Source organism: Homo sapiens, chromosome 7 (genome assembly GCF_000001405.40).
Source record: "Homo sapiens chromosome 7, GRCh38.p14 Primary Assembly".
Classification (NCBI taxonomy): domain Eukaryota; kingdom Metazoa; phylum Chordata; class Mammalia; order Primates; family Hominidae; genus Homo; species Homo sapiens.
Window position 1 is genome coordinate 155,288,596 of NC_000007.14, and position 25,743 is coordinate 155,314,338.

The 25,743-nt window shown below is 47.3% G+C and overlaps 1 protein-coding gene and 2 long non-coding RNA genes across 13 annotated transcripts in view, besides 4 other annotated features; 1 reads left to right on the plus strand and 2 right to left on the minus strand.

Moving 5' to 3' along the window:
• INSIG1-DT (INSIG1 divergent transcript) lies at nucleotides 1-10,385 on the minus strand. Of its 3 annotated transcripts, none has more exons than NR_183448.1 (2): nucleotides 9,556-10,385; nucleotides 1-269 (listed from the first exon to the last, which is right to left on the minus strand). It is a non-coding gene; the product is annotated as an INSIG1 divergent transcript (long non-coding RNA). The 3 variants fall into 3 exon arrangements; NR_183447.1 differs by having other exon boundaries at nucleotides 1-272; NR_183446.1 differs by lacking the exon at nucleotides 9,556-10,385 and adding an exon at nucleotides 7,709-9,063.
• Nucleotides 2,360-2,959: a transcriptional cis regulatory region, noted in NCBI's record as "candidate enhancer chr7.5881 targeted for multiplex CRISPR interference". NCBI's record gives its function as "positively regulates INSIG1 gene expression with high confidence in K562 cells {active_cell/tissue: K562}" and the evidence as "EXISTENCE:mutant phenotype evidence [ECO:0000015][PMID:30612741]".
• Nucleotides 8,279-8,328: an enhancer, noted in NCBI's record as "active region_26895". NCBI's record gives its function as "activates an Ori minimal core promoter by ATAC-STARR-seq in GM12878 lymphoblastoid cells {active_cell/tissue: GM12878}" and the evidence as "EXISTENCE:reporter gene assay evidence [ECO:0000049][PMID:35858748]".
• Nucleotides 8,789-9,618: a silencer, noted in NCBI's record as "silent region_18844". NCBI's record gives its function as "represses an Ori minimal core promoter by ATAC-STARR-seq in GM12878 lymphoblastoid cells {active_cell/tissue: GM12878}" and the evidence as "EXISTENCE:reporter gene assay evidence [ECO:0000049][PMID:35858748]".
• Nucleotides 9,283-21,640, plus strand: INSIG1 (insulin induced gene 1). 8 transcript variants are annotated; one of them, NM_001346591.2, is made up of 7 exons: nucleotides 9,283-9,432; nucleotides 9,664-10,102; nucleotides 12,971-13,095; nucleotides 13,656-13,822; nucleotides 14,152-14,251; nucleotides 15,230-15,300; nucleotides 19,646-21,640. In NM_001346591.2, the coding sequence occupies exons 2-7, from the start codon at nucleotides 9,691-9,693 to the stop codon at nucleotides 19,761-19,763; spliced, it is 993 nt and encodes a 330-aa protein (NP_001333520.1). In that variant the 5' UTR covers nucleotides 9,283-9,432; nucleotides 9,664-9,690; the 3' UTR covers nucleotides 19,764-21,640. The 8 variants fall into 8 exon arrangements, with proteins under 8 accessions (NP_001333520.1, NP_001333519.1, NP_001333521.1 ...); NM_001346590.2 differs by having other exon boundaries at nucleotides 9,283-9,364; NM_001346592.2 differs by lacking the exon at nucleotides 15,230-15,300.
• Nucleotides 10,739-10,808: an enhancer, noted in NCBI's record as "active region_26896". NCBI's record gives its function as "activates an Ori minimal core promoter by ATAC-STARR-seq in GM12878 lymphoblastoid cells {active_cell/tissue: GM12878}" and the evidence as "EXISTENCE:reporter gene assay evidence [ECO:0000049][PMID:35858748]".
• Nucleotides 21,598-25,743, minus strand: part of LOC105375592 (uncharacterized) — a 27,269-nt gene continuing 23,123 nt past the window's right edge. For both annotated transcript variants that reach the window (XR_007060612.1, XR_007060611.1), the window contains one exon: nucleotides 21,598-24,411. This is a non-coding gene — a long non-coding RNA (uncharacterized LOC105375592). The remainder of the gene's footprint in view (nucleotides 24,412-25,743) is intronic.

A 25,743-nucleotide genomic window follows, 5' to 3' on the forward strand; every position in this document is an offset into this window, starting at 1 on the left:
TTGGATGTAAACATGAACTCAAACACGTTTTATTTATTAAGATACAACCTGAACCACAAAAACAAGGAGATCAAAGATGAAGTGGCTTAGACAGAAGTTTCAGTCTCTCTCCCCAGACTGTCTGGAGGTGAGTGGATGGCGCTTCATGAGGTTGCTGGGGACCCCTGTCTGCTGGGTCTCTTGCTCTGTTGTCCTGTTACGACACGCGGTGCATGGCATGGCACATGGTCGGCATGGTAGATGCTGGGTTGCTGCCACACCCACACTCCCTGCTGGAGGAAAAAACAGAGATCAAGAGGGAGTCCAGGGAAGCGCCTTCATCTTCAGAGAGTGACTGGGAGTTGCAAACAACCCACCTGCCCACTGCCCACTGGCCCAAATTTAGGCTCATGGCCACACCAACCGCTGAGAAGTTCAGTCTAGCTGGTGCCCAGTCTTTAGCTGGTTCGGCTAAAATTCAAGAGGCTCTGTAATTAAATATCTATTTATAATATATCATGTAGTGCATATAAGATATGAGGACAGCTATATATATATATATATGTAGTAAATACATTGATATATGTATTGGGGAGAACAAGGTAAACATCAGCCAACTGAAACAGATGATCAAAAAAGACTTAGCCACACCAGCTCCCGGGACAAAGGCTAAGCTGCTTAGCCTGTCCCCAGGCTTCAGCCCAGCTGACTTCTCCACTCTGTCTCCCACGTGCTCAGAATCCCCCGAGGGCCTCACGCCTCTGCGCAAGTTGTTCCTCTGCTGGAATGGCTTTGCTCCTTCTCTGGGTGACAAATTCATCTTTCGAGACTGAGCTCAAATGTCACATCTCCTGAGAGGCATTTTCTAATTGTCCCTCTTCTGTGTTTCCATAGCACCGCCTGTCTATGAATTTCTATGATAAAAATCACCAAAATGCATCGAAATGATGTTTTCATGTCTGTGGTAGGCAGAATATCAGTCCGCTCCCAAAAGTCCACAGTCTAATCCCTGGAATTCGTGAATGTGTGATGTTACATGGTGAGGGGACTTTGCAAACTCGATTAAAGATCCTGGGATGAGGAGATTCTGCTGGTGTCTAAGCCCATGCGGGGAGCTCTAACAAAGTACCAGCGACTGGGCTTATAAACAGCAGATATTCATTTCTCACAGTGCCGGAGGCTGGAAGTCCAAGCTCAGGGCACTGGGAGACAGTGTCTGGCGAGGGCCACTTTCTAGTTCAGAGATGGCGCCTTCTCCTGCATCCTCACATGGTGAAGGGGCCAGGGAGCTCTCTGGGGCTCTCTCTTCAGGGCCCCGACCCCATTCACAATGGCTCCACCCTCATGACCTCAGCACCTCCCAAAGGCCCCACCTCCTGGCACCATTGCCTTGGGGTGCGGCTTTCAACGTATGAATTTGGGAGGACACAGACACTCAGCTCATACTACCTGGGTTATTCAGGCAAGTCCCACCTAACTCCAGGCCCTTCGAAGTGAGCAGGAGGCCAGAGTGATACCACGACAGGGCCATGAGCAGGGAAGGCAGGCAGCCTCTGGGTGCTGGGAAGGGCGAGGGAACAGACCCCCTGGAGTCTCCAGAAGGAACCCAGCCTGCCAGCGCCTTGATCTTACTGCAGCGAAACCCAGTTCAGGCACCCAACCCCCAGAGCTCTGAGATGACACATGCGTGCTGTGCAGGGCCACCGTGTTTGTGGTCATTTGTCACAGCAGTGCCGGGAGCCTCCTCCTAGGTCCTTCTCCCCCATTAGTTTGTGAGCAGCTCCAGGACCATGCAGCAAGAGCCCTTGTGTATCTCTAGCACAGTGCCTGGGGCACAGCAGGAACTCCAGGGGTGAGAGCAATGGGGGTGCGGGGAGCCCAGCTATGGACTCAGGGAGGCTGGATCTGAACCCCTGCTCTGCCCCTCAGCATTGTCACAGCTTTGAGCACATTGCTTGCTTCAGGACTCCATTTCTTCACGTTCTTCACCAGATAGAGAGAACACTCATCTTTCAGGTGCCGTGAAATTGAGTAACACAGATTATATGGTGTGTCTATATTTTGGGTGGTAGCCACCGACCGTGGGGCCAAGGCCTGACATGACCACACAGGTGGCAAGCCCCTGGCCCCTCCGCCCCTCACTCCTTCCTGCTCCATGCTCCACATCCCTCCCAGTCCCGGAGGACAGAAGGCTGAAAGCAAGGTGTTTCCAGGCCCTGCTCCCTGTGAGAGCCCTACGGGACAATCCTTCCTTACTCCTTCCGGCCTCTGGTGGCTCCCAGCAAACCATGGCGCATGTCCGCCTCCGTCCTCACACGGCTTCTCCTGCATGTCTGTCTCTGGGTCTCACCTCCTCTTCTTAGGAGGAAACAGTCATGTTGGATTTGGGCCCACCCTACTCCAGTGGGAACTCATCTTAACTCATTACATCTCCAAAGACTCGATTTCCAAATAAGGTCACATTCTGAGGTTCCCAGAAGGACATGAATTTGGGGGCACACCATCCCACCCAGTGCACCCCCTCTGCCACTGCTATCTGCTGCCTTCACTCCCCAGGGACTCAGACACCTGACACACAGTCTGTCTCCATATCCCAAACCTGTCATTGTGCTGAGGACTTCGTCCCACTCAAGCATGACTCATCCAAGGCCTCGCCTCTGGGTTCCCTGACCTCCTTGGCCCTGGTGACTCACTCCACACCACTCCAGCCACCCAATCCCAGGCTCATCGTGGGGACTGCCACCCTCTGCAGTGGCTCTCCCCTGACGCCATGTGCCCACACAGCCTCCTCCTGCCCAGGCTCTCGCCTTCAGATCACCCATCCAGTAATGAATCTGTGGGAGCTTGGGTTGCATTAATCAATGAATATTGCTACCCTTGTAGGGCCAATACCCAGTGTTCACATAGGGCAAGCCTCTACACACTGACCCTTCCCTCTGTGGGGCCCTCTTCCTCCCGGCATACTCCTTTCACCTCCATTTCACCTGACCCAGGTTCCATGACGCCACCAGCCGCCTGCCGCTAACCTGCCCTCCACTGCTCCATTGCCCCTCCTTGGCACCACCAGGAAAAAACCAATTCTAGAGGCCCCTCGAATGCTCTGCCATTGCTACCCAGCCTGGAGTGTCGTAGAGAAGAACTCCCACGCCACCCTGCAGATTGGGCCCTGTGAAGTCGCCATCACAAACCTCCACCAGGCACTCCACACCAAAGGGTTTACACTCCCAGTTTCCAATCGCTCCTGTCTCCCTCTTAACTCAGGAGCTCTCCTCCTTCTTCAGAAATGACAGAAACTTCCTGAGGGGAAGGCGACCCCACCACACCGCCCCCATCTCTCCCACCTACTTCCTCAGTAGAGGGTGTGCCTGCCCAGGAATCCCCACTAGGATTGGTCCTAGACACCAATCTCCTCCTCTAATCTTCTCCTCAGGGACCTCACTCTCCACTGCCTGCTCTCACTCCCTCTTCTTCAGTCTTTCTTTATTTTATTATTATTATTTTTGAGACAGAGTCTCACTCTTGTCACCCACGCTGGAGGGCAATGGAGCAATCTCGGCTCACTGCAACCTCCACCTCCTGGGTTCAAGCGATTCTCCTGCCTCAGCCTCCCGAGTAGCTGGGATTACAGGCATGTGCCACCACGCCTGGCTAATTTTTGTATTTTTAATACAGACGGGGTTTCACCATGTTGGTCAGGCTGGTCTCGAACTCCTGACTTCGTGATCCACCTGCCTCAGCTTCCCAAAGTGCTGGGATTACAGGCGTGAGACACCACGCCCTGCCCTTCTTCTTCAATCTTTCTACTGGGTCCATCAGCGTTTATATTTGTTCACGTCTCTCATTTTTTAAAACAAAACAGGCTGGGCGCCGTGGCTCATGCCTGTAATCCCAACACTTTGGGCGGGCAGATCACCTGAGGTCAGGGGTTCAAGACCAGCCTGGCCAACATGGTGAAACCCTGTCTCTACAAAAATACAAAACTTAACCGGGTGTGGTGGCAGGTGCCTGTAATCCTGAGTGGGAGGCTAAGGAGGGAGAATCCCTTGAACCAGGGAGGTGGAGGTTGCATGAGCTGAGATCGAGCCACTGCACTCCAGCCTGGCTGACAGAGCAAGACTCTGTCTCAAAATAAACAAACAAACAGACAGACAAACTAAACTCTTTCCCCATCACTCTCTCCTCCAGCTTCCATCATCTCTCCCCTCCTTCTCACAGCCAGACCCCTTCCAGAGGGATCTTCACTGGCAGCCTCATTTTCCTTGTCTCCTTATCTCATGGAAGCGCAGCTTCCCCCGTGACTCAGGCCACTCACACCGAGCTTCCTGCTGACCACATCACAGGACCCCCAGACATGATTGGTCTCTGTCTTGCATGCCATGGCTGCCACTTTCTCCTTTCCAGAACATCCCCCCCCCGGATTTCTTGGTCGCACACTTTCTTCCTATCTTACTGGACCTTCTGCCACTGCCCCTGGCAGCCCCTTTCCTCTGCTCCAGCCTCAGGGCTGTACGAGGCACACTGACTTCTCATCCTACACAGTCTGCCTTGGCCCACCCTCCACTCCAATGCAGAGTCACCATCTGCAGTGGTCTCTGCGATGGATTCACCAACAGCTCTTCACATTGGAGGGTCATCTCTCTGCCAATCATAACTGTTCTACTCCCCTTTCCAGTGATCAATATAGGCATGGACAGTCTGACCAACTTGACTTGCAGAAGCAGCTCTGGGGTCTTCTTACCACTTGGGGCTCTGAGGATGAGTCCACTGTTGGCTGTGGAATCTGGTTGTCCCATCAGCCGCAGCGTGGGGCTGAGTATAGTCATGTGTCGCGTAACAACGAGCATGTATTCTGAGAAATGCATTGTTAGGAGATTTTTCATGCAGACACCATTGAGTGCATTTACATAAATTGAGACAGTAGAGCCCACTACACACCTAGGCTGGAGGGCATTCCTCGTACACCTGTGCAGCATGTGACTGTACTGCATACTGTGGGCAAGTGGAACCCAATGGCGAGGATGTGTGCATCTACACATATCTAAACGTAGAAGAGGTGCAGTAAACATATGGCATTACATGGGCCCACCATCGTATATGCAGCCTATCACTGATGGAAATGTCATCGTGCAGTGTATGACTGTATTAGAATCAGGAAAACTGAAAGAGTTAATGAAGGAGGGGTAAACTGGGGCCAGTAAGAGACGGAAGATAGAGAGCTACCAGATGCATTTCTTTTCTTTCTTTTCCCCCAAAGGACTGTTCTTGCAAGGCATGGTGGGTCTCCACAGCCTGTACAGAAGGTACCCTGTGTGACTAGCAACCACATGTCACGCAACAGCCATGGTCGGCTCAGTGAGGTGACCCTCACCATAGCTTCTCCTTCACTGCTTCACTCACCTCTTTCCCTCACTCTTGGGGGATTGTGCTTTCATGGCAAGTAAGCTAAGGCACTTCCCTTCATAGACAAACACTATTCTGCTTTTGAAAACGATGACATACCACTTCACATCCACTGAGATGGCTAGAATCAAAAACTCAAGGAATAACAAGTGTTGGCAAAGATGTGGAGAAATCAGAACCCTCATACCCTGCTGATGGAGGTTTAAAATCATGCAGCTGCTTTGGAAAAAGTCCAGCAGTTCCTCAAATGATTAAACATAGAGTTACCATGTGACCCAGCAAGTGCACTCCTAGTAACTCCACCCAAGAGAAATGAAGAGCTACACCCACATGGATGAGCTTGTGCACATTTATAGCAACATCATTCGTAATAGCCGAAAAGTGAGAACAACCCAAACGTCCACTAGCTGGTGAACGGATAATCAAAATGTGGCCTCTCCATACAATGGAACATTATTCAGCCATAAAAAGGGATGAAGTGCTGACATATGCTATGACATGGATGAACCTTGAAAACATTATGTCAACAAAGCCAGTCACAAAACATCACATATTATACGATTCCATTCATACGAATGTCCAGAACAGGAAATCCATAGAGACAGGAAGTAGATCAGTGGTTGCCGTGGGCTGGGGGTGGAAGTCGGGATAAGGAGGCAATAACTAAAGCATATGAAGGTCTTTTCTGGGGTGATGAAAATGTTCTAAAATGGACTGTGATGATAGTTGTACAACTCTGTGAATACACAAAAAAACACTGAATTCACCGTTTAAATGGGTGAATTGCACAATGCATGAATTCGCCCTCACTAAAGCTATTAAAAAATGGCGTAGTCTGTATTGATTGCCTTTAAAAGACGTTCATGATCACTTAATAACTGGTTCCACTAATGTGAAGTTGATCCTATTTGTGTTTTTTTAAACACATTTATGGATAGAAAAAATATTTGGAAATACATACCTCAAAATGTTAACAATGGTCATCTCTAGTTGGTAGGATTATAGACTATTTCTTTAAAATATATTTTTCCACGATGTTTTACAATGAGCATGTGATGCTTTTATATGAAAAAATATATATTTGGTAATCTACTTTATCTTAAGAATATTTCTTACAAATGGTTATTAATGTTATAATAAAAAGAACAGTAAGAACAGACTAAAGGCAAGATTGCTCACTACGTGACACCTCCCAGTCTTTAGGCCTTTATGAGTGCATGATTCTTCCGTATCCGAAAGAGCTACAGCCGTCCTGTGCTCCCTTCCGCCAGCCTGTTCAGTACAGAGGCCACCAGTCTGAGGGTTACTTAGTGATCTGGGAAGGCACGGCGAGGTGTTTAACTCAACAATAGTCAACTCCCCTAGAGTAAGGCCACATCTGTGATGATTTCTGTATTGTGGGGCAATTAAGAACTAAACGGTGCCATCATGAGCAGATTTCCCTAAATGCTGAACTCAGAGTGGCTGACAGGGGCTGAAGAGAATGAACCCCATTATCTTCAACACACGGCCCACGATTAGCAGGGAAACAAAATCAACAACAGCTTTGCTTGAGGATAAGCAAATTTCAACCCCTGAAAATCTTGGAATGTGGTTACTGATATGGAGGCTCGGTCTTCAAAGGGGGTATTCAAGGGGGTAAACTCAAACTCTCCCACTGTCTTTACCCCAGGCTGCATTTCTTCATGGGGCCAGACTCCACAGGCACCTGGGCAAACACACATTGGGAACGCAGTGACAATCTCTACCTACGACTCAGAGGCCACGCTGGAGGCCCTCAGCAGGAACCCCACGGGCAACCTTCCCACATTCCCACGGGACATCTTGGTCGGTGTAAGTGCAACAGCCACAGAGCCACAGGGTGCCTCTATGACTCCAGGATCTTCCATGGTTCATAATGTCCCAGTACAGATGAGAGGAGGGACAGAGTCAGAGAGGCTGGGTTGTATGAACACTGGTTTATTAGGTAGATAGGAAAAGAAGAATGAAGTCAATAGTCTTTAGCAAGCCAACTAGCTCAAGGAATAGACAGCCCCTTTCCATTCTGGAGACAACACATAAATCTATTAATATTAAATATTGTCATGAGGTATGCACCTGCCCACAGGGGTATTATGATGGAAATACTGGGGTAGTCTGCAGGGCCAGGTACAAATGACGGGAAACAAAGCCAGAGAAACTGAAATACCTCTTGGACCCCAGAAGACAGATGTACTGATTTCTGGGATGTCAGGAGCCCAGTGCAGAGCAGCTGGATAGGTCGCTAAGAGCTTTCCCTTCTGCTTATCGGGTCTCACACACCTGGATAAACCAGTTATTGAAAGCTGACCTGCTAATGAGAAGCTTCTGGCACTTGCTGGTGTTTCCTAATTGAATGGGTGACTGCCCCGCATCTCAGGGCCGGGGCTCCCGTGCGGACGCCTCTCCATGAGGTTAGCAGCTTGATTTAGATCAGCGTGCGGGACGGGGAGCTCACAGTGGGGTCGAGGAGACACAGCACAGGCTTCTGAAAGGTGCCCTGTCCATTAGGGAGCACCCCATTTACAGATGGGTCATCCTTCAGCTCACTAGTTTCCCAGCGCATGACAGTGGGTAGCTTTTTTTTTTCCTATTATAAACAAATCTTCGATGTGACTGCGATGATCTACGGATGATCTACGTATCTGGTTGTGTGATCCTCAAGCACTTATGCAAGGTGGAGTGTAAACAATGGCCAAGACCCAAACTGCAATGTTCCCTGAAGTCCAACCTGCTTGGAGTCCTTGGGAACGTGTACAATGGTTAACAGGCTTGAGAGGAGTCAGCTGGGAGAGTGAGAGCGAGACTGCCCTGCAGAGGGGCCGCTGAGGATGGACCCCTGTAGGCCGTCCACACCCACCACGCGTGTCATCCTCAGGAAATGCAACCGGATGCTCGGAATTTCGCCCCTAAAGCGACTCAGGGCAGTCTCAGCTCAGGAAGACTTCTTTTTTTGACCTTCTGGCTTAAAGCCACAACCCCAGGCTGAGGATGCCACATCAACGGCGTTTCCTCGCCACGCTGCAGGCGTGACTCACGTTTCTAAGCCTGCAGGGTCCCCGGGCCAAGCGCGGCTACTGAGAGCACAGCGTCCTCCCTCAGCCCCTGCTCATCTGCACGGAGCAAAGCCGCAGCTTTCTCTGCTGTCAGCGCTTTATACGACTCGGATGTAGGCTCTGAGCGGGCACGGGCCCGCCCTCAGACGGCGACCCGAGGGGCAAACAGGATGGAGGCGCGCTCCCTTGGAGGCTGTGGTCTCGATTTTATCTGCTCCTGGGTGGTGCGGGTGGTTTGCTCTCTAGGCGTGAGCAAAGGCCACAAGGGGCCCGAAAAAATCACCCAAGGATGCAAGCCCGCCATTGCGCTGAGCAGGGGCCTCCCCGCCGCCAGAGCCCGCGCCCCTCCAGGGAGGCCCGCGCGATCGAGACCCGCCGCCTCCCGGCCAGGCGCGGGACACCAGGCGAGGGGAGCCAGGAGCCGGGAGGGGCGGCGCCGGGCCCGCAACCCCACCCTGTCCTGCCTCCGCCTCCTCCCGGCAGGACCGTCCCCTCCCAGGCCCCAGCTCCGCGGCCGCCCACTCGCAGCCGGCCAGTCCCGCTCGGGCCCGCGTGCCCCGCAGCCGCCACGCGCCCCGCAGTCCGTGCCGAGGCTCCCGCCCGAGTGCGCGCGGGCCGGCGGTGGCGTGTGCGCACGTCATATGGGCCGCCGGCCTCCCATTGGTTGCGGCCGCCTCACCAGACCGCGTGCGGACGGGCTCGCGGGCGGGGCGGGGCAAGCTCAGGCCACGCCCCTGGGCGGTGCGCGCGGGCGGTGGGTAGGCCGGGCAGGCTCACGTGATGCGGGCCCCGCGGCCCGCCATATAAACCCGCGCGCCCGCCAGGCGCTGCGGCCGTCCCGGGCCGTGACTCCTCCTTTCCCCCGCCCCGCCTCCGTTCGGAGAGCCGGCGGGCGGGCGCCTCTCGGCCAGGTACGCGGCCGGCTGGGATAGGGGTCGCGGGCGGGCTTTGGTCGCGCAGCAGCCGGTCCTCCCCGGAGGTAGGCGGGCGCGGGCCCTGTTGGGTCTTTGGGACGCGGGTCCCGCTGGGGCCGGGGATGCTGCTCGCTGTGAGCGCGGGTCCCGTCCGCCGCTGGCCCCGGGCGGGCGCACGGGGGTCTAACCTTGGGGGGCGGCGCTGCCGCCTGGCCCGGGTGCCGGGGTTCGCGTCCCGCGGGGCCTTCCTCGCTCTTTGTCTCTTCTGAGTGAACTTGATGACCCCCTTCTTCCAGGAAGCGCCTCTTGGACGCGTGTGACCGATGCCCAGATTGCACGACCACTTCTGGAGCTGCTCCTGTGCGCACAGCGCGAGGCGCCGAGGCCCCCCGCGAGCCAGCGCCGCGGGGCTGGCGGCCAAGGTTGGGGAGATGATCAACGTTTCCGTGTCCGGGCCCTCCCTGCTGGCGGCCCACGGTGCCCCGGACGCTGACCCCGCGCCCAGGGGCCGCAGTGCTGCGATGAGCGGCCCCGAGCCCGGCAGCCCCTACCCCAACACCTGGCATCATCGCCTGTTGCAGAGGAGCCTCGTGCTCTTCTCGGTTGGGGTGGTCCTAGCCCTGGTGCTCAACCTGCTGCAGATCCAGAGGAATGTCACTCTCTTCCCCGAGGAGGTGATCGCCACCATCTTTTCCTCCGCCTGGTGGGTCCCTCCCTGCTGCGGGACAGCAGCTGGTGAGTACCCCTCCTGGTTCTTCTGGAAGTAAAAAGGGTGTCTTTTCGGTTGAAAGTACTTTTCAGCCTATAAGAAACATGCATTTGAAACTGGAACTATCCACAGATTGAAAGTGTGCATCTCCAGTCTTGGGATTTAGAGAAATGAAGGAGGGGTAGAGAGGACCTGGCACCCCCGAGGGCGGGTTCGGGCCACAGCTCTCTGAAGTTTGAGGAAGCACAGTGATGGAGATGAGGCAGGGAGATAATTGGCTGTTCAAGCAGGTGCTGTGCCAAGCTGACTGAGGGCCCTTCCCTCCTGGCGTCCGGGTACAGCCCCAGCTGTCATCCCGCGCCAGCCGCCCCGGATTGGCCGCCTGGGGAACTGGTGAGCAGCGGGACTGAAAGGCCATTGGTCGCGGCAGCAAACATGCTACCCTGCTGGATAACTGAAAACAAACCCGTCACATGGGTTCAGGAGGCGGTTGCCAGGGGAGCAACTTCTCAGCACTTCCTTTTGCCGGGTCGCTGAGTAAACTGTGGTCTGAAGCCAAACCGCCTACACCCTGAACTGTTAGAGCTCTGTAGATTACGTTCTTAAGGAAAAGAGTAACCCCCTTACGGCGTTTAGATTTTCGTACACCCAAGCAGTAGCATAGATGCTGTACAACGTAACACTGAGTCAGTCTGAACTGTGGACACGGGGACTGCTGGGTGTGTGTACTAGACTTTCTTGGCTATCATTGAACCGCTTTTATAGAAATGTTGAGTTGATCTTGGCTCAGCAGATCACTTACTGCTCCTGTAGTCACACAGCATTTGTTTATTTAACGAGCTTGTCGGGTGCTTTCTGCAACCTCAACTCTATAAGCTGTTGAAATGTTAATCCAAAAGTGAGCACCACAAGCCCCTATCCTTAAGCAGCTTAGAGTCTGGTGGGGAAAACAAACCAGTATGTCAGTGACTCCAGTGCAGTGCAGGGAGCATCCTGTTTGCTTTGTGGCTGACGTTTGTCAGCTGACTGCTGACCATAGGCTTCAGATGCTTTGCTGTGTTCATTCCTTACAGCAATACCATGTGTAGCTTCATTTATAGATGTGGCAACTGAATCACAGGTGAAGTCACATCCAAGGGTGCGCAGGTAGAAAGGGGCCAAGCCATCGTTGGTAACTGCTCCTGCTGCCTTGGTAGGTGTGTCTCCTGCACTGTGGAAACACATTGCCTCAGTTGACTCACTGAAAACAGCAAGCAGCAGAGAGGTTTGTAGCAGATTAACAGAGGGCTCCGTGTTGAAGAACTAGGACAGGTGTCTGTAATTATTAAGTAGTGGGTAGAATGTTTTCATATTTGTTCTCGGAGGGACGGGATCCTCTTTCGTTTTTCGAAACACTTTATGTGGCTGTACTAATTGAACATTTTTTGAGAACTATATCTAGATTTAAAATTCCATGTTTCATATACATTTGGCAGAATAGTTTCTTTCCTTTAACCAAAAACTTGATCTTAGAAATGAAATAGTTTAGCCTTCAGTATTTGTAATTGGATCCTCAAGGGTTTCTAGGAATATCTGGACAATTTCTCATACTCTCATATTCTACTTTTTTTTAAACCATCAGCCAAGAGCATAAGTAAAATTTTTCATAGTATGTTTTTTACCTATTTATTTATTAAGCTATAGTGAAGTAAAGTTAATTTGGGGGGTCCATTTTTCAGAACTCCAAAATTAGAACCTGATGAAGTATAATAAATTGAAAACAACATTTTTTATCTGAATGTTTGATGCAAACTGTGTTTCTTGTTTCTCAGTTGAACCTAAAATGTATATTTCTTTCATACTACACTGAGGTGAAACAATTGCAGGGTTCTCAAGAGCCCTGGGACACAGTGACCCTTGTGTCCCAGCATCCAACCCCACGGGCCGGCACCCCACTCCCCCCTACAGACATTCATTCCTGCCTTCATCTTTGCCATTTTACTTCTCTTTTGGAATGCCATTCCTTCCCACCTGTCCAAATTCCAAGTTCGTGTCTATAAAGAATAACTATTCCAGACCACAGTGATCTCTTTCTCTGTGTCCCAGTTACATAATCCTTATAATTTTACACATGAGAAAACAAACATGCAGAGCCACGTCCCATCAGAGGGCAAGCTGGGATTTGAGGCTGAGTTTTCTCTTCTTGGTCTGGTGTTCTTTCCGCAGCTTGAGGCTTGACCATGCGGGAACCAGATGGAGAATAAGCGAAGCCTGTGTGGGGCTGTCTCGCCCCGTACTTGCCCATGTGCATGTGTGCACAGTAGGTGCTCAGTGCCTCGTACAGAACATGCTAGAACCCCCGAAAATCAACTCCAGGGCCACTCTAGGAGCATGTGACCCAGACTGTCAAAGTCACATCAGCAAATATGTATCTCATCACGTGCCCAGCCCCAGTACTGGGTGGTGGCAGGAGTGTCAGAGCTGTGATGTGACAGGGTGTGGACAGATGCTAACCTTTTTATTGTAAGATAGAAATCACACCGGATGAAAAGACAAGGTGAACTACATAGTCATTTAAGTTCTGTGTGCTTTAGGCAAATGTGGATATTAAATATAAGGTTACATATTGCTCATATTAATATGAATAATCCCTGCTTGATTCCTTCCTGTGTTTACTGAGACATGTTCAACTACACTAAATAATAGTGATTTTTAAAAAACTTTTCCAAACAGTACAATTTTGTGGGAGTGGTACTCAAAGAGAACAAGAATATAAAATCACTCTGAAGTTATAGCTGATAATTTTTTCTAGGAAAAGGACTGGTTTGAGTAATGTACTGTGTTACTAATGACCACGTTGAAATTCTGGAACTTGAATCTGCTGTATTCTAACATTGTCAACTTTTTTAAAACAGCTGTTGTTGGCCTACTGTACCCCTGTATCGACAGTCACCTCGGAGAACCCCACAAATTTAAGAGAGAATGGGCCAGTGTCATGCGCTGCATAGCAGTTTTTGTTGGCATTAACCACGCCAGTGCTGTATCCTTAATTTTCTGTGCTACGTCCAGAGTATCTTCTTAGGTTATATATTGAAGCGTTTTGTTTTGTTATATACTCAAATGACTCCATGTCATAATACAGACATGATGGTGGTACCTACCCATTTCAGATTACTAAAAAGAGAAAGAAGAATGGGGCTATCGATGACTTCATAGTAAAATATATTGTTTTATGGTCAAAATAAATATATATTTATTTATATTTTTATATATATTATATATATTTTTAAATATATATAATATATATAATAAATATATATTTATATAAATATATATAAGCACTTTATATATAGCTTTCAGCAAGTTTATTCTTATGGTTAAGTTTTTGACTCAGTGATGGCAGGGAGATTTCAGGTGATCTTAATGATTACTGTAACCTGTATCCAACAAATCCTTTCTTTAGCTTATTACACAGTTTTTATGGACAGTGAATTATCTGTGGTACAATAATAAAATACCCATGTTTTTAACCCTTGTGGTTTTACGTTTTTTTATCTTAATAAGAGTCAGCAAACTTTTCCTTAACTTTTATATCACCAGAAATTGGATTTTGCCAATAATGTCCAGCTGTCCTTGACTTTAGCAGCCCTATCTTTGGGCCTTTGGTGGACATTTGATCGTTCCAGAAGTGGCCTTGGGCTGGGGATCACCATAGCTTTTCTAGCTACGCTGATCACGCAGTTTCTCGTGTATAATGGTGTCTATCAGTAAGTGTGTGTTTTCAAATATTGGCTTTGGAAAGCTTACTTAACTTTCATTAAAACATCCACTAAGCTTAGATATTTTCATATTTTATTTGTTTTTTATATAGAATGATACAGATTTAGGCATGAAATTCTCAAAAATGCTGCTATCCATAACTTAATGTAACGCAAAGGAAAACCAAGTAGTAGCAGTTACAACCAAACAAATATGAACATTCGTAACATTGGATGGTTGATATGCGTTCTGCATATCCCCACTACAGAGAATCTGTGATGTAGAATTGAGCCAGGTGAAATTGACTGCTAAGGTACAGTTTCTTTTCTCGCTCCAGGTATACATCCCCAGATTTCCTCTATATTCGTTCTTGGCTCCCTTGTATATTTTTCTCAGGAGGCGTCACGGTGGGGAACATAGGACGACAGTTAGCTATGGTAAGTGAAATGATCATATTATCTTCTAAAACTTGCGTCTCTTTACCTTGATAGAATGACTTTACATGATACATTCAAATTTGCGTTCATATATTCTGGTTCAGACTTGAGTGACAACTACTGAGAAAAGCTTATATTTAAAAAAATAGGTAATGATACCCAGGTAATTCTTTGCTAAATTATAAAAATTCATAATATTTGATCTAGAAAAGGAACTAGAGCCCTCGCACTGCCCCTTTGAATTGCAGATGTGGTCAGTGTTCTGAATTCTTGAAATTTCTGTAGTAAGCAGTAGAGAAAGTGACTGGTGTGTGAGTGTCCCCTCCTCCTTCACCATCGGAAGCAGATCTGGATGACCTCATGCAGTGATACTTTGCTCCCTGAGCATCAGTCCACCAGTGTTTCTTTTCACAAAATCAGAGTGGATGCAGATGATGCTGGCCTCTTAGTCCACAGTCAAGCAAATCGAGCCTGAGGCTGCAGAGTCTGTCTCGGGCCAGGGCAGGGACTAATGTGGGTGGGCAAGGGGACAGCCTGGTTCAGGCAGGCAGCACCTTTCTGTGGGGCAGGTGGCCCTGGGCATGGAGAAGTGGTGATGAGAGCACCGCTGCACGTGGCCGGGTCACCATGTAGACGGACTGTCCTGCCTGAACATTGCATCTGTTCTCAGCTGCAGGAGAAAGCAGTGCTACCCCGCAGAGCTTCTCTCACAGCCCCCCTGAGGGAGACGGAAAGGTAGTGAACTCCAGGATGGCTTTAGCAGTTCTCATTAGTTAAAAATTGACATCTTAGCACTTCAATTTAAAAACATAGAGGTGGACTTTTAAATGTTATTTTGAGTTGACTTTGGCAGGCTGAAAGAAAGTAAATTAAAAAAAACAACAAAAACCTAGAGCTGTTGCTCTCGGAGATAAGCTCTGGGAAAACTTATCTTAGTACCTCATGCTATTTTTAAAACAGTACATTTATTTTTGCCAGCTGATACCCTTCTGTGAGGAGTTGAATTTGAAGACCACTTGGCTGTTTCACAAAACCAGAAGTAATTACAGGTAGAATTTGCAGTCTTCCACTGGTTACTGACTCTCTGCTGCCAAATTTCTCATGATGGAGAAGAAAGGACTTTGCTTGCCTTTTTTTTTTTTTTTTTTTTTTGAGACAGAGCTCTGGAGTGCAGTGGTGCCATCATAGCTCACTGTAACCTTGAGCTCCCGGACTCAAGCAATCCTCCCGCTTCAGCGTCCCGAGTAGCTGGGATTACAGGCACATGCCACCATACCCGGCTAACTTTTTTGCTTTTTGTGGAGATGTTATCTCCCTGCCTTGTCCAGGCCGGGCTCGAACTCGTGGGCTCAAGCCATCCTCCCACCTTGGCCTCCCAAAGCACTGGGATTATAGGCGTGAGCCTGGCCTTGCTTTTTTTAATATTAAAAATCTGGTCGGATGGTCCCACATGGAAATAGTATGTTGTTTTCATGCATTCGCCATCATCCCCGTTAATAGTCTTCAAAGGAGAGCTGGCAACTCCATCATTGCTTTCTTGCTTTGAGATTTTTGTTTCGGTACTCTTTGGGAGAGAATTCCTAAGAAGGTTTTTAGAATAAAATTGTCCTCAACCAGATTGACTAATTACACATTATAACTACAACTTGAATAACATTTAAAGAGTTGGTTATTTCTGTTTGATAGGTTGGTGCTGTTATATGTCAAGGCTTTTTAAATCGGTTTTAAGAAATAAGCATTATTTTGGTGGAGGTAGAAATTTCACAACATTCATAAGTTCTAAACATCTAGAAATGGTTGGAGGAAACATTTTCGTTTTGAAGATAGTTTCATTAAGTAATCCCTGCTGTGCTCCTTTGCTTACAGAAAAAAATGTTAAAGATAACTCAAAATAGGATAGTTGGTGTAATTATAATTCTCCTTACTTCAGCTTTCTCTTCATCCTTTTTATTCTTTAAGCTTGGGGGAAAATGTTTGGATGTTCTCGTATCTTAAAACTGGAGGAGAGAGGCTGGGCGCGGTGGCTCACGCCTTTAATCCCAGCACTTTGGGAGGCTGAGGCGGGCGGATCACGAGGTCAGGAGATCGAGACCATCCTGGCTAACACAGTGAAACCCCGTCTGTACTAAAAATACAAAAAAAAAAAAAAAATAGCCAGGCGTGGTGGTGGGCACCTGTAGTCCCAGCTGCTTGGGATGCTGAGGCAGGAGAATGGCGTGAACCCGGGAGGCAGAGCTTGCAATGAGCCGAGATTGTGCCACTGCATTCCAGCCTGGGTGACAGAGCAAGACTCTGTCTCAAAAAAAAAAAAAAAAACTGGAGAAGAGAGATCACCACCTTAATCCCCTTCCCTGCTGGGCTATCACATGAAACTGACCTCTGAGGTTCTAAGCCTAACCCGCCTACCACTGTTTTTATTCATAAATACTTAAATCCTTACCTCTGGATCCCAACTGTTACTCTTTTTTTCACTTCAAAATTTGCAAACTCATTTCTATCCATCAAACCCCGGAAATGGCCCAGGGGCTTCACAGTGCAGTCCCCTCCCTCCTGCTGCATCCGTTCCTCAGGCTGTGCCCCAGGTTGCATTCGTGGTGCGTGTTTTCTCCCAGGGCAGCCTTCCCCACATTCCACTCTTGTCATACTGTTGACTCACAAAATGGAAGTGGCTGAATGTTCCAGGGATAGTGTCTAAGAGCTATTGGTTTAAGGTTGAAACCTACACCAAGTAAGGCTTTGTGAAGGGAGATGACGAGAGTGAAGTTGTTGACAGTCTGAAGGTGAAGAGATTCCGAGGCTCAGTTCAGCACCGGGACCAGACCCGCCCAGATCCAGGGTAATTTGAGGTCTGTGTTTGGTGCTGATGGTTTTGCCCAGTGCACTCCACACCCTCTCCTTCTTAGCTGTCTCAGTTCTCTTCAGATGCCTTTGTTCTAACTTATGCTTCCCTCCCTTAAGAAGAAACATAGTTACTTGCAAGAATAACCATGCTCAAAAGTTACAAGTTGGCTTTGCTTCAAGTTATATGGTCTCCTAGCTTTTTCTATGTGGTATTTCCCCCCACACATGCCGTTGTCCTTTGTGTCCGAAAATACAGCAGAAACATTTGTTATCAGCCTGTTACGGTTTTTTTGTTTGCTTTTTGTTTGTTTTTATTTTTACTTTTTTTGAGACGGAGTCTTGCTTTGTCACCCAGACTAAAGTGCAGTGGCACAATCTTGGCTCACTGCATTTGAACCGTCTCCCAGGTTCAAATGATTATCCTGCCTCAGCCTCCCAAGTAGCTGGGATCACAGGCGCCCACCACCGCACCTGGCTAATTTTTCTGTTTTTAGTAGAGACGGGGTTTCGCCACGTTGGCCAGGCTGGTCTCGAACTCCTGACCTCAGGTGATCCACCTGCCTCTGCCTCCCAAAGTGCTGGGATTACAGGCATGAGCCACCGCGCCCGGCCCAGCCTGTATGTTTAAAAGAAAATGAGTCTGTAACCATCATTTATAGAACTTGTAGTTGTTGCTGTTTGTAGCTTCAAGTCCTTTCTCAAGAGTAAGCTGCAAACTGCCAACAGCAATCAAGCCTGTCCTGCTGCCACTGCCCGGCCCCACTGGGCCACCTGGAGGCAGAGTCCCGCCCACCTCAGTGTCAGCTTGGGATTTGATTTGCCGTTCCTGTTTTTGATTGACCCAATTCAGCTGCTAATGATAATAATACTATTATTGTTATTGAGGGTTTACATTTGTTGGGCTCTTACTGCTGCACAGGAGGCATTGTGCTGAGCGTTTCCATTGTTAGCCAGTTTAGTCCTCATAACACAAGTCTTTGAAGTAGAAACTATTATTAGCCCATTTTTAAAAGGGGAAATTGCAGCTTAGGAAGATTAAACAACTTGGCCAAGTGGGTGGCAGAGGTCGACGTGGCACCGTGCTTCTCATTAGCATACCACACTGCCCTTTCAACACATAGCTCGCACCTGCCTTCACCCTGGAAGCAGGTTTACAGCAGCCTGTGTTGGTGTCTGGGTTGCCATTTACAATGTGCCACCATTAGGCAACACTGCTGGAAGTCCCTGTGCCACGTGTCAGGTCCGCCCGGGCTGGCTGTCGTTCGTCTCTGGCGTCTTTGCCAGGCCTCACTGTGGCCTCTGTCGACCAGGGATTCTAAAAGTCCACTTCCCATTTATTTATCAGCACATTAGTGAACAGGGAGTCAAATGTGATGACCAGTTTTCTTTCCAGGTTGCTGCCAAGAGTTTGCTCTTTTGTTTTCTCACCGCAGTTTGTATAGAACCCTCCCAGTGTTCATATCTAAAAATTGGCAGTGCTTTCACATGATCAATTCCTAAAAGCATGTATGTTTCCTAGAAGGTCTTATTGTGTGTGTCCCCAGGGTAGTAACTGGCATACCTGGGTGACTCAACCCAGACTCATGACTTTCTTACCTGTCTGTTCAGATGAGAGGCTCTTGCTGTTTTCTGGATGAGTAATCTCCGTCATTGCTGAAGGTGAGGAGCTCAGCTCCTTCCTCTTAAAGTGAGTGGAGGGCAATTAAGTAACGTGGGAAGTCACGATTCTGAGGGAAAAAAATTCTGTATGGAGGTTTCTCTTTTGCCCTTTAGCAGAAGCTCCGTGGCCTCAGGAAGGTCATTTAATCTCTCTGGCTTTGCTTCTTCATCAGTGAAATACTGTTCTCCATTAAGAATTTACCCTGAGGTGCCTGGTCATAGTAGTAACTGTAGTGTCTACCTCTCAGAAGCTCTGTGAGGGTCAGATGAGGAAGAACATGTAGAAAGGATTTCCCAACTGTGAAGCTCTGTGTGAATTGAGGGCACACAGAGCTTCAGTATTACAAAGCATGACCTATTTCCAATGTCTGTTTCAACAAACTGCTGGTAAGGTGGGTTATAACACAGGCATCAGATACTAATAAAGGTTTGTGGCAGAAACCTCCCTTCAGATAAAGGTTCAATCCCTTAAATTGCAGTTAGAACTTTCAGGAACCTATCATACCCTAAGCATCACCATGCTTTGATAAAATTGGGTGTTTCCTTTATATAGATATTAATTTAGTTAAACTTTCACCAATATCTTACACTTATATAACAGGCTTTATATAAGGGCCTCAGCAGCGTAATTTCACCTGAGGCAGAGAATTATCCTAATTTTGCAGGTGAGAGCTGTGGCTCACGGGGCCAGAGCCATGAAGACGGTGCAGGGGAGCTGGGAGAGCTGGCCTCGGTCTCCAGTTCTCTGCACATGTCCCACCTCTCAATCTTGTTGCTTCAGTCAAAGAAAGTGTCAATCTTTCCCATGTTAGGACCTACTTAATTGGTAATTAAAATATTTATACATTTAGTGCTAATTTTCTCTTTCCTTTTTTTTTTCCTTTCTACACATAGGGTGTTCCTGAAAAGCCCCATAGTGATTGAGTCTTCAAAACCACCGATTCTGAGAGCAAGGAAGATTTTGGAAGAAAATCTGACTGTGGATTATGACAAAGATTATCTTTTTTCTTAAGTAATCTATTTAGATCGGGCTGACTGTACAAATGACTCCTGGAAAAAACTCTTCACCTAGTCTAGAATAGGGAGGTGGAGAATGATGACTTACCCTGAAGTCTTCCCTTGACTGCCCGCACTGGCGCCTGTCTGTGCCCTGGAGCATTCTGCCCAGGCTACGTGGGTTCAGGCAGGTGGCAGCTTCCCAAGTATTCGATTTCATTCATGTGATTAAAACAAGTTGCCATATTTCAAAGCCTTGAACTAAGACTCAATTACCAACCCGCAGTTTTGTGTCAGTGCCCAAAGGAGGTAGGTTGATGGTGCTTAACAAACATGAAGTATGGTGTAATAGGAATAATATTTATCCAAAAGATTTTTAAAAATAGGGCTGTGTTTAAAAAAAAAAACAAAACAAGAAAAGCAGCAGTGATTATAGAGAGGTCACACTCTAAGTGGGGTCGCGGCGTGGCCACGCTTCACGGTCACGCTCGTCCGTCCTGCAGTGGCGTGTTTACATGGTCACACGTGTGTGTATCACCAGTGGGTCAACTGCTTGTCATTCCTCCCGTGGCAGTTTGTGTAGACAATCTTACTGAGCAAAAGGCAATGAAAAGTCTTGGTTCCCACACTGCGATATATTGGAATTTTCACCTCAGTTTATGAAGTTTATTTCGAAATCCATAGTCATCTAAGAATGAATACCTGTCTGCCATGTATTTCAATCTTAGTGAGCCAAAATTGTTTGTTTGTTACTACAGAATAGAGATGACTGTTTTTTGCCACAGCCCTATGGAATTTGCAATCTGTGATTGCCTTGTAAAAAGGAGAGTGCATATGGCACTGCATTAAACGTGTGGTGTTTCTAGTCAATGATATTGGTGAGCACAATGTATTCATTTAATGGCATAGACCATACCAGACCTAATTTGCAAGTATTGGGTCTTAAACTTCAAGTGCAATGTATATGAAAACCAATCTGAGCCTTGTATCTCTTAAATATTTATTTTTTTTAACGTGTGAGATGTTCGAGAGAAGGTTCTCCATTCATTTCAGTGCTGCCTGGAGGAAACTCGGCAATGATTTCTTTCAGTTGTGAAGTTCCTTTCGTGTTACACCCTCCACTGAACCCTCAACCTTCGAAATACTCCAGTTTTGTGGGTTTGGTCATTTTTACTTATAAATTTACCTTTTTGTATTTTGCAATTTACATGTGTTTGGTTTGTTTTAAATTCTGTGAAAGTGGCTTGATTAAAAGACTCCTTTTAAATGGAAGCCACCAGTCAGCAGAATGGAAGCTTAGAGGAACTTGCCTGTGAGCGCTGGTCTTTGTGTTTGGTTTTGTGATGTAACGATCTTTGCTGGGGTTTTTTGCTTTGTTTTGAGGGAAATGTCTTGGAGTAAATTTTAAGTTCCTGGAGTTAATTTGTTTTACAGGAATTTTGTTTTTTAAAAAAATAGGATCATTCTGAACTTTGGAATGACCCCCTTATATATTTTCTGAAAATGAAAACAGTTACATGAAAAAAATTTCCAATGAAGATGTCAGCATTTTATGAAAAACCAGAAGTTATTAGATGAAAGCAGCGAGTGAATCTTTAAAACAGACTTGATCACGCACACACAATAAGTCTTTCTCTCCGAAACCGGAAGTAAATCTATATCTGTTAGAAATAATGTAGCCAAAAGAATGTAAATTTGAGGATTTTTTTGCCAATAGTTTATAGAAAATATATGAACCAAAGTGATTTGAGTTTGTAAAAATGTAAAATAGTATGAACAAAATTTGCACTCTACCAGATTTGAACATCTAGTGAGGTTCACATTCATACTAAGTTTTCAACATTGTGTTCTTTTTGCATTCATTTTTTACTTTTATTAAAGGTTCAAAACCAAGTGTTGTATTTATGTTTGCTTTTTAAAAAACAGTTGGGGTGGTGGTCTCTGTGTAGGATGTTAGAATTTGTAATGGAGAAATATTTTGCAGTTCTTCAAATTTTACTGAATTTTGACACAACCTCTTGGGAAGTATTTGAATCATCCTTCAATATACACAGGACATTGGTTCCAGGATACCCCACGTATGCGAAAATCTGCATACTCAAGTCTGGCACTTGGCCCTACGGAACCTGCGTACACTAAAAGTCAGCCCTCCGTATACGTGGGTTTCACATTCAGCAAATAAACCATGTTTGGTTGGAAAAGCTCCATGTATATAAGTGGACCCACAGGTTCAAACCCTGTGTTGTTTAAGGGTCAACAGTATGTGTTTTTCTTATGGTAGAAAGTTTTAAGTGCAGCACGAGCTGAATTGAACCTGCCACCTTACCCCTCCTCACCACAGGCACCCGGTTTTCAGGCAGGAGGAGCGGGCATGCCTGGCCTGTCACAGGGGCAGCTTCCCTGCTGCCAGCCGGCGTGGCTGGAGTTACTTGCACTCACAGGTTATCACGATGGGATGAGAACTGAAGAGATGCGTTGAGCACCAGGAACATTAATGCTAGGCAGGCTTCACATTACTTGTAGTTGTGAAATCGCATGTCAGTACTAGCAGAGAAAGGCCTTACCTTATATGTACCAATCCATTTTATAACACAGATCCAAACCAATAGGTTTCTACTACATTTAAAACATGAAACATCCATGTATGGAAAAACTGGTAGATCTCATGATAAAAACATTTCCCTCATTACAGAGACTTGAGGTTTGCCTGAGATTAACCCAATTTATGTGGATCAAGTATAGGAATGCCTGCTGAACTAGTCTAAGTTCATGTTTATTCGTTTTTTGAGACAGAGTCTTGCTCTGTTGCCCAGGCTGGAGTGCAGTGGTGCGATCTTGGCTCACTGCAACCTCCGCCTCCTGGGTTCAAGCCATTCTCCTGCCTCAGCCTCCCAGGTAGCTGGGAATACAGGCATTCACCACCACACCTGGGTAATTTTTTTGTATTTTTAGTAGAGATGGAGTTTCACCATGCTGGCCAGGCTGGTCTCGAACTCCTGACCTCAAGTGATCTGCCCGCCTCGACCTCCCAAACTGCTGGGATTGCAGACGTGAGCCACGGCGTCTGGCCTATTCATGCTTTAGAATAAGTTTTGGAGGTTAAACGTTTCCTGGAATTTTTCTGATCTATTGAGCAAGTGATGGAATGAAACCATTTCATTAAGGGTAAGGTGTGTAATTTACAGAAGATTTCCTTGTTCACGTCTTTTCAACTGAATGAGCAAGGCTGAGTAAATAGGAACTCAAGATAGATTCAAAGATGTTTGTTTGGCTAGTTTTAAAAGCCACCTGTGATCTTAACCTAAGCAAGATTTCCGGCAGATTGGTTTAAATGAATTAGATATAATCATTTGGTGACCTGGCACTCTCCCTATCCTTGAATTATAGACATTTCCTTTATCCTGGTGGTAAAAAGAAACGAGAGAAGGGAGCAATTATAAATCTAAACTTGCCTTTTCTACTTTACCTGTTAAAACAGACCTTTTACTAAGAATGTTCACTTTCTCAGAGTTTCAGATCATCTCTTTGTAATAATGTAACTTTAGCATACCCTTCTAGGGATATTCTCTTTGAAAAGTGTTAATGCTGTAAAATATTAATAAAGATACTAAAATTTAGCCTTAATGTATATTATGCAATAAGCTGACCTAGTCCTCACTAATCCACCATTTTATTTACTCTTGGACTGAGGTGAGCTTGTAAGCAATAAATTAGTCACAGGAGGGATTGCATATTGATCCCTAAATGTAGTCAAAATATGCAAAGAAAAAGGTGCATGAAATAGATCCAAGTCCTAATACCCAAACATAGTGCCCTGCAGACTTTATACATCTTGGTAAGATTCATACCTGAAGAATGGCTTCCCTGAGCATTTATAAAAACACCTAATAGTGCCTGGCACAAGATAAGCTCTCAATAAATGTTACTTTCTCTTCTTGCCCCAGTTTTCTCAGGGAAGAATAAACGGCTGAGATCGTGCGTTAGGTATGGTAGTGCCAGTCTACGTTTGTAGTCTTCAAGACAAATGGTCACATAACATGAAAAGTGGTTTTTTTATTACTATTTCCACGTATTCGACACTTAATTTTTCTGAGTGCTTTGACACCCTTTTTTCCTCATTGTTCTCCACGTTCCCAAGTTCAGGAACAGAAGGAAGATGAAGTCAAAAGCGCTGGGTCCACAGAAGTAATTTCCTCATCAGAACCTAGCTCTTCGTATTTTTTTCTGTGTCTTCTCTCAGGCAAGTTTTTCATTTAAAATCATAGGTGTCTTCCAGTTCATCCCTCAGACCTCACCAAAGGGTCATCCCTGGCTCTCCTCTTCACATCAAACCTCCCAGAGTTCCTCCGGGCTGCAGAGCCCTTGTCACAGTGGCCACCAGAGTGGGCACTGTCAGGCTGCTTTCCTCCCGCAGGCCAGATTCCCGGCAGAGAGGAGCCGCCTCCTTGCTTGTCCTATCCTGGTGCCTCGCCACAGCCTGGATCCTGCTTCATCACACGTGTGTGCTGGAAGCGTGTGAAGAGATGACATCCCCCACTTGGTCACTGGCCATCCAGGAAATATTTCTGGGTGCCTATCATGACAGAGGCAGGCACATGGGCTGTCCCCAGTCCCATCCTGTTGCCAACAGCCCTTGAGTCCCCTTCTGATTTGTGATCTCCAATCTGTGGGGAATGAGATAAATAAAGCTGTTAGAATCAATCATACAATGAAAATCTGGGTCAAGATCCAGGGAGGACTCCTCCAAGTAGAGTGGATGAGTTTCAGTGGCAGGATTTGTTTTAACACCAATACGAGCTGTTACAGGATTAGGGATTCTTTTTCCCAGGAATGGGGTTGGAAGTGTGCTGAACCGTCCACACCCTCCCGCCCCACTGCACTGGTGCCCGGCATCTGCTTGTGGGTGGCCAGTGTGACACCCACAGGCCCAGGAGGAAGCACCCCACGGGCAGCACCAGTACAGAGTCCTTGAATCCCTCAGAGCCTTCGCCCATTCCCACCTGCCAGCCTGCCCTTCCCGGGTACACACTGATTCCTCAGAAATTCCATCTTTTCAAGGAGGAAGGCTGCTTGCTTCGGTATGTGATATCTGTCCCTGCCCTTCAAATTAGGTCTCATTTGCCATCAACTGCTTTCAAACCCATCCCTATTTTCTTTAGTGCCCAGGGGCCTGCTGACCCAGGCTAATGTGGACATTTGGCCTCCCCTTTTCTCCTCATTCTGCATCAATCACGTTAGTTGCAAACACCCAGCTAGGGCAGGGTGCATGTGAGCAGATGACTGCGAGAGAAAGATCCCAGGGTCAGGAGGGTAGCAGTGTCCACGGACCTGCACCAACCTTGCTCCTAAAAAGCCACTTCCTACCGCCTGTTCCCTGTCCTTGCCAGCCCAGGAGTGGTGTGCGAGCCTGCGTGTAATCAATCCCCCTCCACAAGCCCGGCTTGCTGGGCCGGCTCTGGGGCTTCCTGCCTTTGCCTCATCACACACTGCTCTTCATGTCTTCCTCAAACATCCAGCCAGCTGTAGGAGCTGCCTGAAGAAAGGTCAGCATGCCAGCAAATTATGTGGAAGACCGTTTCAGAGTTTAACGCATCCACCAGGAGGGAGAGTTTGCACCGTATTAATCTTGCCAGGACTGGAAATAAATCGTGAGTCCTTTTATTAGGCTGGGCACATGGAAAAGCCCTTTCCTAAGGTTTCTCCTGAATGAAATTGTTGCATTTCCTAAGCTCCACATACAGGTATTTGCAATTATTTGATTGTTCATTTTGAAACTGTGGGGGAAATGTTCTTGAACACTTACTGTGTGCCAGGAATCATGCTGTGCTCTGGGAGCCCAGCAGTGTGCAAAGCAGGTTCCTGCCCAAATAGGAGCTGTCAGAAATCTACCTGTTCACTGGAGATCCTGGTTACACTTCTGGAGACTTAAAATGCTTTGGGGAATCAACTCAAGATGGATCAAAGACTTAAACGTAAGACCTAGGACCATCAAAATC